Source organism: Homo sapiens, chromosome 6 (assembly GCF_000001405.40).
Source record: "Homo sapiens chromosome 6, GRCh38.p14 Primary Assembly".
In the NCBI taxonomy this organism is placed as follows: Eukaryota; Metazoa; Chordata; class Mammalia; order Primates; family Hominidae; genus Homo; species Homo sapiens.
The window spans coordinates 129,656,160-129,668,311 of NC_000006.12; the positions used below are offsets into that span (position 1 = coordinate 129,656,160).

General features: G+C 40.2%; 1 protein-coding gene across 1 annotated transcript in view, besides 3 other annotated features; it reads right to left on the reverse strand.

The window, feature by feature from the left end:
* ARHGAP18 (Rho GTPase activating protein 18) overlaps positions 1-12,152 on the reverse strand; it is a 134,046-nt gene that overhangs the window by 80,028 nt on the left and 41,866 nt on the right. The window lies entirely within an intron of this gene.
* Positions 6,341-6,410: an enhancer, noted in NCBI's record as "active region_25045". NCBI's record gives its function as "activates an Ori minimal core promoter by ATAC-STARR-seq in GM12878 lymphoblastoid cells {active_cell/tissue: GM12878}" and the evidence as "EXISTENCE:reporter gene assay evidence [ECO:0000049][PMID:35858748]".
* Positions 6,441-6,490: an enhancer, noted in NCBI's record as "active region_25046". NCBI's record gives its function as "activates an Ori minimal core promoter by ATAC-STARR-seq in GM12878 lymphoblastoid cells {active_cell/tissue: GM12878}" and the evidence as "EXISTENCE:reporter gene assay evidence [ECO:0000049][PMID:35858748]".
* Positions 6,511-6,590: a silencer, noted in NCBI's record as "silent region_17532". NCBI's record gives its function as "represses an Ori minimal core promoter by ATAC-STARR-seq in GM12878 lymphoblastoid cells {active_cell/tissue: GM12878}" and the evidence as "EXISTENCE:reporter gene assay evidence [ECO:0000049][PMID:35858748]".

Here is a 12,152-nt window from a genome sequence, read left to right on the forward strand (position 1 = left end):
AGAAGCACAGGGCTTTACCACTGATCTCTGAATCTACATTTTGATAGAGGAGATAAAATATGTAGGGAAACAGTAATACAGGGCAGCCTGGCTTCACACCATATGAGTGGGACAAACAACAGGTGTTGCAGTGCTCACTGCTAGTTAAACATAGGCAAGGACAAGATGCCAAAAAGTGCTTAAAAATGTCAGTAGCACAGTAGGCCAGGTGCGGTGGCTCATGCCTGTAATCCCAGCACTTTGGGAGGCCCAGGCGGTGGATCACGAGGTCAGGAGTTCAAGACCAGCTAGGCCAATATGGTGAAACCCCGTCTCTACTAAAAATACAAAAGTTAGCTGGGCATGGTGGTACGCGCCTATAATCCCAGCTACTTGGGAAGCTGAGGCAGAAGAATCGCTTGAAGAACCCGGGAGGCGGAGGTTGCAGTGAGCCGAGATCGCACCACTGCACTCCAGCCTGGGCGACAAAGCGAGATTCCGTCTCAAAAAAATAATAAAAAATAAAAAATAAAAAAAAATATCAATAGCACAGTAAGAGGAGGTGAGAAGGGAGATTCCAGTCTTTTGCTATGCCTCATTTTAATTTAATAAAGCTCTCCCAGAGCCAACAGTGTCTTGTTTGATTCAATTTTATTTCCCTCTAACTTAAGCCCATTTCCTCTGAGCAAATAAAGAAGTAATCAGTGTCCTCTTTATATTAATCCCCTCCTGGGAAAAGTTTAAGGCAGTCCTTTATCATACCTTGAGTTGGCCAATGAGTTTTACTCCTTTACTTTTTTCCCCTGTATTTTAAAAAGCAATGTCTTATAAATACAACCTGAAGTACACATTCTTATTGACATCCAAATCATGAAGTACCTACAGATAATAGCATATCATCTTTGTTCTGAAATTTTTCCATTGGGCCTTTTTCAGATTGGCTCTTACTCTGCAAATGAAAGCTCCAAGTTGACATTAATTTTATAAACAGGTACATATTTAGGCCCAGGTGGGAAGTCCTTGGCACAGATACCAAAGTTAAAAGCCTAATCATAAATGTTTTTTGCTTCCTGAGGAAATTAGCACTGTTATTAATTGCTTTCCATGGTTCTTGTTTCTTTTTAAGAAAGGCTTTGCTGATCATTTGCATTAATATTATGCTAATAAAAGGGGATAGTAACTAGTTTAGTCTCTTCAGTAGTAACTACTGATCAAAGAGAGGTAATTTGCATGTTTTCTTAATTGGAGTGAGCTGGCATTTTACACACTCATTGTCACCATTTTTGAAATTAAAAAAAAAAAAAAAACAACTTAATACATGTTGGGCCAGACTGGACAGGAGCAATTTCTCCAATGGAATCATCTAAACTCAAGTATTTCAAGAGACATTTTGCTTCTAAGCATGAATCCCAAATGACAAGGATGAGTATTCAAACACAGGGCAACCATCTGCATCGCAAAATACATTTCAGTTCCTCTCTGCAGAAGGAATTCATTTACTGTGGAAGGCCATTCACTTCCACTTCTGAGTGCTTATTCCTCAAAAAGCTTCCAAGTACTGTGAGAACAATGATTAAAAGAGGATCTTTCCATCTGTGCTGCATTAGGCTGCAACACAGACCCTCCTGCAGAAACAGTTTTTGCATAATTCATTATGCCATTTTAAACCCTAATCAGTGAATTGCAATAAGCGATGGAGTATGCATGACAGAAAAGAGACCGACATTTATTAGCTGCCTCCTAAGCATTCACCTAATCCTTACTTTGGGCTATTGCTCCATGAATCATAGTATACGGTCACTCATCTTATCTCCAATAGGTTCTTATTCCCACCTGAAGTGTTGTCATCATTTTTAGCCCATACTAATGTTTCCAGAAAAAGTGTTTCTTACACCATTATCACTGTATAGTGTGGGAAGGAACTACTACTGGAAGAGAGAAGGTGGCATATCTTCAGGTCTACTGTTCACCGTGTGAGCATGGCTGATACATCCTACAAGAAACATCCTACAAAAGGAATGACAATATCTTGTCTCTTCTCCTTCTAAAAAATCATATAGCACTAACTTGTTAGTAGTGATTTTTCACCTATAAAGCCATAATTTCACCTGCCACTTTGCCTTGGAAGTGGCAAGCAAGGACCTCTCTGGGTCCCAACTTACACCTCAACCACAGAATCTTTGTCTTGATTTTGTTATTTGGAGATCTGTTTAAGGATGCACTGGAAAAGAATTTTATGATTACAAAAAAATTAAAATAAAATTGCCTTAGGCACCTCAAATGGAAAAAAAAAAAACATAAAAGTGATAGAATCCTTAAGCTTTAAACACTGAAAAACTGATTAAGCAGAAGGTATCAATGATGGCATGCAATGTGTATAATTTTAAATCAGCAAAATTAGTGAGAAACTGTGTGGACATCAGGGTTGAGGATGCAGACAAATCTTACGCTAAAATTTTTCACTTTCCATTTCTAATCCCCTAGGTCATGGTAAAAAGAAAAACAATATATTTTGAGTTTTCTATTTATAGGTAACAGTAACATCTGACATATGATAAAGTTCTTCAGTTTGGTGATTCAGTAAGAATCAAGAGAATCATCTCAAAAACACAACTTGAACTGAGTTCACTGGTAGAGTCTTCACTGAAACAAATTTAAAGTCAGTAACTCATAAGAATTGAAAACAACTAAACATCACTTTATGGAATCTTAAAAAGCACAATTGTGGGGGTAATGGGAAACCTTCCGGAGGTGCTTCAAATATGAGAAATAAATTGATATTTTAGAACAGTGCTGGCCAATAGAAATAAAAGGTGAGGACGAAAGTTATTTAATTTTTTTTTAGTAACTACATTTACAAAAGTGAAAAGCAGATCAAATTAATGTTAATTTTAACCCACGCAATATACACCAAATATCATCACTGCAACATGTAATAAATATGGCAATTATTAATGAAATCCTTTTTATTCCATTCTATGTCTTTGAAATCCTGCACATAATTTGCACTTCCATCATAACTAAATTTGGAGCAGACAGTCCAAGTGTTCAATGACCACAGGTTGCTGATGACTACTGTCTTGACAGGGTAGCTTTAGAATGAATGAGGCAGTAGGCAGGTTCTCCTCGTAGAGCCCAGCAGAGACAATTGCTGTCATTCCTTCTCACTGCTAACATGTACAAGTTAATGCCTGTTTATCTACAAAACATTTATTTTCTCATTGACTCAGCAAATATTCAGAGAAAACCTACTTTATTCCACACTATGCCAAACTGTGGAACGCAGGTGTACTTCAGACAAGATAGGCCTAGAATTTTTTTTATTTTATTTTATTTTATTTTTTATTTTGAGGCAGAGTCTCACTGTCACCCAGGCTGGAGTGCAATGACACAATCTCGGCTTACTTCAACCTCCACCTCCTGGGTTCAAGTGATTCTCCTGCCTCAGCCTCTGTAGTAGCCAGGATTACAGGCACTCGCCACCACACCCTAGCTAATCTTTTTTGTATTTTTAGTAGAGATGGGGTTTCGGCATGTCGGCCAGGCTGGTCTTGAACTCTTGGTCTCCCAAAGTACTGGGATTATAGGTGTGAGCCACCATGCCCGGCCTGGGCCTAGAATTTAGAAGGCAACAAAGACATGTGCAACTCCATATCCTAAGTGGTAAGTGCTATGGAAGCACATATTAGGGAAGTCACAAGCTCTAGTGAAGGGATCCGTTGAAGGCTCCACAGAAGAGTGACATGAGCCGGAGGTTGAGTAGGAGTCTACCAGGTAGAACGTGATGAGAAAGGCCTTCAAGGCATGGCAACCACACAAGCAAAGACAGAGTAGCAAGCATGGACAGTGGGTTTAGAGAACCGTGAGTGCGGTGATGTAGACAGACTGCATTCATTTTCAGGGAGGTACAACCCCCTGGGGGAGGGAGAAGGCACCAGATAGGGGGTTGGGGTTGGAGGGAATAAGGCTGCCGCCAAATCCTGCAGGACCTTGCTTGTCAAATTAAGAACCCTGGAATGCAGGCAGTACGACAATGGAAAGTTTTTAAACAAGCAAATGTCACTATCAAATTCCTGTTTTAGAAAGATAATTCTGAGAAGGCACATCCTGAGACAGCCTGGGGCCAAGATGCTGTGGCGTAAACAGATCGCTGAGCGATGATAAGGTCCTGAATCCAAAGGGCATTGGTAGAAACAAAAGTGAAAGGACACATTCAAGAAGCTTTTCCCAAAGAGAATGCCTGGGTGACCAATTAGATAAAGTAGATGAAGGAAACAGAAGAAACAAAGATGATTCCACAGTTTGTTCTTGGACAGGAGGGTAGATGGCAAAGTCATTAACTGAGAAAGTGAAGATAGGAAAAAAAAGAGCAGGTTTGGCAGAGAATGTGACACCCTCAGTTTGGACCTGCTGAATCTGAGGTATGTTGGAGACCCTTGCTACCTAAATGTGCTCCACGGACCAGCGGCACCAGGCATCAAGCTTGCCAAAAAGGCAGAATCTTAGGCCCCACTCCAGATTTGTTGGATTCAAATCTGCATTTTAACAAAATCCCAAGGTGACGCCTGTGCACAGTCAAAATAGACAAGAACTGATCTAGACATCTGGAAGTCTAGGTTGTGCCCATGAAAGAGTTACTGGCTGGAGATAATTTTGGAATAATTAGCATATCCATGAGGGTTAAAATGATAGGAGTGAAAGAGCTCAACGAAAACAAATTTAGGATGAAAGAATCTGTGTGTGGTGTGAGGGAGTATGCATGTTTGGAATTGAAATAAAGAATCATCATAAAGGTCTACAATGACTTTCTTGTTAAGTACATTAAAAACGGAACCAAGAAGAAAAGGAAGAGGAGGAGGAGAAAAAGAGGACACAAAACCTTTAAAAAAAAAAAAAAAAACCAAAAGAATCACAATGGTGAATTAACATTAAAGCTATAAAGAACTTCTTTTTATGATTAAGACAAACTCGTATTAATGTTCCTTAATAGTCAGGGATGCTAGGCAACAAAAATTTGATACGAGTGGAAGCAGAAATAAATGGAAACTATAAAAAAGAAGTGGAAGCAGCCAGGTGTGGTGGCACACACCTGTAGTCCTAGCTTCTGGGGAAGCTGACGCAGGAAGATTGCATGAGCCTAGGAGTTCAAGTCCAGCCTGTGCAAGAATCTTAAAAAAAAAAAAAAAAAAAAAGTGGGATACAAAATATGGATAATTTGTTTAATAATAATTTGTAAAAAAGTTAATATATGGGATGATGAATATAAAAATATTAACAGTGGTTTGCCTTGATAATAGGATTATACTTTGTTCATTCTACTTTACTGTTTCTTTCCCCCTATTTAATAAATATCCACCCTTTTTCTCTTTAAATGAAAAAAAAAAAAAAGACACTATTTGCTGGGGTGGGGGAATCAGAAGGCCTGGATTCTTGGCTAGTTTTACCAAGCAGCTAACTGACTTCAGGCAAGTCATTTCACCTCTGCATGCCACAGTCTCCTCCGCTGTATAATGAGGGGCTTGAGAACAAGATGTTCTCTTCTAAGAAGATTTCCAGCTGTGACTTTCTATGAACCAAATTGGCAGCAAGGTGAGATTCATGTGATGTCTCTAAACTCTCCCTTGACAACACCACAAATAACGTGCAGGGTATCCGTTCGGCCCTCCACCCTCAGCCCATCCCAGTCTCTTCATCCCACCAGCTCACCCAGCGAACAATTTTCCTGGAGTTTTGTTCAGAACCCAACAGCTGTTTAGAGCTGGTTTCAAGTCCACCAAGCAGTCATCTGTGTCCTCTGTTTCCCAGGTGACACTGTTGTCACTACCTGGTGTTGCCACACACACACACACACACAGAACACAAAGCCCCTGAAACCAAGGGCCCCTCCCAAGATCCACGCAAGCTGCAGCTCTCTGAGGCATAATACTCTCTGAAGGCTCCATGCTAGATGCCAAATGATTAAAAACCATTGTGCATAATTACCATTCCATGTAAAAAGCCTTAAAATATATCTTTAATGGTTTTACTGCAGGTCACAGAAGCAAAGGCAGGAATAGCAAGCTGTGCTCTTTTATGTGGGAGGATAGCGCACATGAATACAAATATGGCAGAAGATGAAAGTACAGCAGACAAGGACAGGCTGCTCTTTCAGCAGTGACAGCAACCCAGTGTGAAGGGCCCATCAGGGCATGGTGCCTGCTTCTCAGCTCCTTGGAACAAATACTCAGTGTAAACACACTCTCTCCTTTTGAAGTGGGTGCAATTTGTCTATTGTCATCCTCTTGCCTTAAATTATGCTCCACTATGGATCTGGAGAGGTGTTTTTGTTCTTCTAGTGCAGAAGTCCTTCACATTAGCCCGTGAACACTACTAAAGCAGTTCTTCTCCTGTAATACATGCTTCCCTCTACAGCAAAGTTGTAGTCAGATGGCCTCCTTCGAGTGATACTGAATGCCCATGTGAAGCCTTCTTTCTGTTTCACTGTGCAAGGATTCACAAGCATGACCTTGTAGCCACAGGCAAAGTTAGCTGTTTGGTTAAAATCAGGGTACCTACAGCTCACATTGATACAAGATTCACTGCTCTCTATGCCTTAATTAATTGGTACTGCTTAAATATAGAGAGGCACATTAGGCTAAACTGAATGTGTAAGTGAGGAACAGTACTGATTAAGCCTGCCACCTCTTAATTCCAACACATCTCAATTCCTAATAAGAAACTTAAAAGCCTAAAATCTGCCAGAAAAAGAGAATTATCATGCATTTGAAATGTAAATGTTAATTAAAATTTTATTATTTATGCTGCCCAGTTGCTTCACTGTAAGAATTAAATTTAATAATTTGTCAGGGGCAATTATCACAATAACGAGACTACCAGGCAGTTGTCATTATAACCCCCCATTTTAAGGATGAGGAAACTGAGGCTTAGAGAAAATCAACATCGCCAGGAAGGTGAAGATGCAACCCAGGCCATGTGGCCACAAAACCCATGCTCAAGACTCTGTATGATAAATGCCTCTGAAATCTGTCCCCAGCAAGGGTAACACAAGCTGTGACAGGGTTTAGAGCTGAAACGACCCTAGAGATCACTAAGTCCAGTCATTCTCAACCTATCTAAGCTTCACAGCTGACTCATCTGAAGAAGAGCAGCAAATACACTGTGATTATCAATGTGCTCAAAGACATATGTGATAGATACGAATGATCCAGTCCCTATCTTGCTCTGACAACACAGGCTTTTTCTTTTTTTCTAGAGATGAAGATAAAAAACAAGGTTCAAGTCTGGTATAAAATCCTCTGCATCCTGTTTCCTACGCCCCAATAATTAAGTCCAGTCCTTAATTACTCAAATGTGAATATGGCAGAACAGAAAAATTGGGTGCTTTGCCCAGTAACATCCAGGTAGTTAATAGCTGCACCAAACATCTAAAAAGGTCTCCTGACTCCCAGTCAGGAAACAGCATAACCAAGTATCCTCCATTAGGACAGATTGTATCGTGACAGAGGAAACACATTACTCTTCAACTTTATCACCAGGGTAATAAAGACAGGCAATAAATACTCTTTTATTGTTAATTATTTTCACTCTGTGAACTTTGACAGTCCAACCCACTAATCTTTTGGCTAAAGAACAATTAGCCACAATGATAGCACTTCACATATTCTCCACCATATCCACACGTACTGAAATCTCCTTTGGAAAGAGCTGTTCATACTAAGATTTTAGCAATCGCAAACTGAAGTCCACCAGGGTGACCTGGCAGCCAGAAGTGTTTTGTTTGGCCAGCAGGGTGTTTCAAACATTTTTAAATTGGTTTACCATGTTTTTTTCTTGTAACATGTTTCTCTGAGCAGGCAGCAGGTGTGGTGGGGCTGGCCCCTTTGAACAGGTTATCTACCTCCCAGTTTGGCACAGCCCCCACCAATCCCATCTGAAAGCTATGCTATCTATGGGTCCCTGTGGGCCTCTGGGTTTGCAGCCTCTGCTTTACTGCGTTAATATTATGGGATTAAAATGGCATGACTCATTATCTCGAACCCATCACCAATGATTGGCATCTGAATTCTGCACCAAATAGGGCTTGCTTTATCAAGACAGCAATAAACATAGCAGGGGATGGGGAGATAGGACTGAACTGATGACCAGGTAGGTTGATTGTGGTCCTTCCTTTATCAGTAAATAGCAGTATTACTTTGATCAAGTCACCTACCCTCAATGGATCATGGTTATTTCCTCATTTGTAAAATAGGAAAGTTAGACTGGCTACTTAAGGTTTTTTTTTTTCAACTTTGAAATCCCATGAGATGTTTCTTACCCAAATTGTGTACAAATAGAGGAATTTTCCCAGGAATAGAGATGTTAGTAAAGAGTGGAACCTGAGAAATGTGGTGTCTTAGGAGTCACCTAGACTAGAATTTGCAACTTGGTTTCATCATTTTCCATGAGATCAAAGGCAAGTTATCTAAAACTCTCAGAGCCTCAGTTTCCTCACCTTCATTCATTTACTCAAGATTGAAGTAAATGAATTTGAGCATCTACTATGTATCAGATACACTCTAAATGCTGGGGATTTAGTAGTGAACAAAACAGTCCGTGGTCTGATGAAACTTACACATTCTAGTGGCAAGGAGACAAAAAGTAAACACAAAGATGTATAACCAGTCAGGTGGTGAGAAGTGCTATGAAAATAAATTAGGTGGGTTAAGAGGATGGGTGGGTAGCAGGGAGCAGTTTATTATAGATGGAAGAGAAGACCTCTCTGATGACACTTGAGCAGAGACCTGAATGAAATGGGGGAAGGGGATAGCGGGCAGGGAGTTTCAGCCATGCAGATATCCGGGTATAGACTGTTCTAGGTGAATAGTTATTATTGAAAATTTGATGATGTGAGAAGCAGAACTCTGACAGAGCCTTTAGCACTTTTTAGAAGTGTGATAAGTTCCTTTCCTCCCACCTCTTCATTCCCCACTTTCCCTCTTCTATGCCTGTTTGTCTTTAGGATCTACTCTCTGCCTTTACATCAGCCCCAAACACAATACAGCAAAGTAGAACAAGGGTTTAATTCCACATTCTAACCAATGACAATCTACATCTGTCAAATCCTATTTTTAATAATCAAGTAAAAAGGCTGGTGCAGTGGCTCACGCCTGTAATCCCAGCACTTTGGGAGCCTGAGGCGGGTAGATCGCTTTGAGCTCACAAGTTCGAGACCAGCATGGGTAACATGATGAAACCCCATCTCTACTAAAAATACAAAAAAAAATTAGCCAGGTGTGGTGGTGCATGCCTGTAGTCACAGCTACTCAGGAGGCTGAGGTGGGAGGATGGCTTGAGCCCAGGAGGCAGTGGTTGCAATGAGCCAAGATCGTGCCACTGCCCTCCAGCCTGGGCAATAGAGCCAGATCCTGTCTCCAAAAAAATAAATAAATAAATAAAAAATAATCAAGTAAGAGAGCCAAGTCTTGCCTCCACTATGTTCTGCGAAAGAACCTTTCATAATAAAATGCTCTAAAATACAAACAGGTAGTTAATAACAACATAGAGCAGAGCAGAAGAGGTTAAGATCACAGTCTCCCTATCAGAAAAGCCTGGATCATATCCCAGCTTTGTTTGCTGCCTGCATGACCTTGATTAAATTGCTTAACCTCTCTGAACCTCGGTTTTTTCACCTGTGAATGAGAGACCAATAATGTTACCTCTTTTCAGAGTTCAGGAGAAACTTGAATGAGATACGTACATAAAACACATGCAATTTTCTTGGCACAGAGGAAAGTGCTCAATGATGTGCATCTCTTTCTATCAGGACTTTTAATTACAAGCTACAGAAATCAACTCTGATATCTTTGCCTGCTGCTAGTCTACTGGCAAAATAAATACATTAAAAATATAAATTAAAATAGAAAAAAATTAACTCTGATGAAACCAAGCAGAAGAGAATTTTATTAAAAGCTTACTAGGTGGCTCCCAGAATGTCCAAAAGCCAGGAATAATGCCTCAGATCACGCCATGGACTGATCCAGGAGCACCAGGGAGCAGCAGATGATGATGCTCACACCAGCAATGCCTGTAGCAATTGACACTGCCCTCTTTTTCTGTGGAAAAGAGGGTTATTCTGCCTCCCAGCAAAGCTCCGAAAGTAGAGAACTCCCCACACCAGAATGAGCGCTCAGATGCTGGGCAGCCAAAAGAACGGCAAGTGTCTAGCCACACCACTAATGCAATACAGTCCTCCTCCCTCCATATAATGGGGATTGGCTTCAGGGCTCCCTGTGGATACCAAGCCCTGTGGATGCTCAAGTCACTGAGTTGGCCCTCTGTTTCTGTGGGTTCTTATTCACAGGGCCAATGGTATACAGTATCCTCATCAAACCACCTTTGGAGCACCTACTAGTTGCTCATGCTACTTCCGTCACCAAGAATGCCCCTGGCCCTCTCCACACCGTTCAGCCACATCCTGGAGGCCCCCACTCTGGGATGCCTTCAACCTGACTCCAGGGCCTGCCTCCACCCTTCCCCAGCTACTTCTCTTGCAAAGTATCCTATTATAAACTGATTTACATCCTGACTATACCTGCACATACAGACACCAATGCTTCTTAGAAGTAGAGATCAAAAACAAGTGTATATACAGTTGTAAATACCACATCCTGGTTTACTAAACATTTCTGTGTATATCTCATCCCACAAATAAGGTTACAAGTCTTAGTTGATTGGGAACACCATTCTTTTCTCCTGTACCTGTTAAAAGCTATTTCCTATTCTTTGTTGATGCTTAATAGCACTTCCTTTAAATCTGGGATGAAGCATAGATTTTTTATACAGAGGGTCAAATGTCTAATTCATCTACAAATACTCCTTTGTTAAAAAAAAATTCAAAGTCTTATATGGAATGAGAAAAGTAATCAGTCAATATTGTTTCACAATATTGAAGCACTTACAAATTATAATACATTTTCATTTTATAAACTCATTTTTTTTAATCTAAAGGGAGTAAAAATATCTTCCCACTCTGGGAAGTAGGGGAACCTACACTGCCCCAATTTTACTAAGAAAAAAATATATTTTTTTTTCCCATGGAATAATATCCCCATCTTGTGGGCACTGTTGTTCAATGTTTTCAAAAATCTTAGCAACATTTTTAGAACAGTGACATCTCTTAATACTTCTCAGGGATAGATAGAATTGAACTACAACCCCTATTTGGCCCATAAGCCAAAAGTTCCCTGTATCTTTAATAAATGCTTTCTGCACAAAGCATTCAAAAATTTAATATAATCAAAATCTATAATGAGTCAGGCATCAACCAGGTCTATATCAAAAGAAAAATATATATGTGTGTGTGTGTGTGTGTGTGTGTGTGTGTGTGTGTTGTGTATGTGGATATATATGCATATATATCTTTAGATTCACGGGTACCTAAAGAGAATTCCTGCCGTGAAAGGATTCTCTACTCACATGAGTAATAAACTCATTCAGGAAACATATATTGAGATCCAAAGTGTCTAGTAAGGCATTGGCTATTCCCTTCAGGTCAGGATTTGCCAAGCAGAAGGCAATACATACATGGAGGGCAAGGAGAAACTGACAAGAAATTCACTGGTTCCCAGCAGGCTCTTGGCCAAGGACAGGAGTCTGATAATATCTGCCTGGGCTCTTGGCCAAGAGGAGGAAGGTTACTGAGCATTTAGAAATATGCATGCACAAAAGAATTGAAAATCAAGAAGGGAGAGGAGGGTTATGAAACAATGAAACAATGGAAAAGCAAGGGAAGAAAGCATCAGTGGTATCTTTTTCATCAAAGGAAAGGAAAGACATGCACATCTATCAAAAGGAAGTAAAATGGAAGTGAGGAAAGAGGCTGACAATAGTTTCCAACTCTTTCTCCCTCTGTATGTCAAATGCCCCTTGGATATGCAAGTAAATCTGCAACTTCAAGATACCATAGATATGTAAAGTTCCCTAGTCAGCTACCTGCCATCCATTTGGAATTATCGTGTAACAAGCTTATCTGGTCTTGTTTATATTAATTTCCCTCATTCAAATAGTTCTTCTCTAGAGATAATGTTTCCCAAGCCAGGACATGATATAAACCCACTATTTCTGGCCATATTTATTTCAGATGACCTTTTTCATTGAAGAAGGGTATCAGTGCATGGAGCACATGTGCAATATAA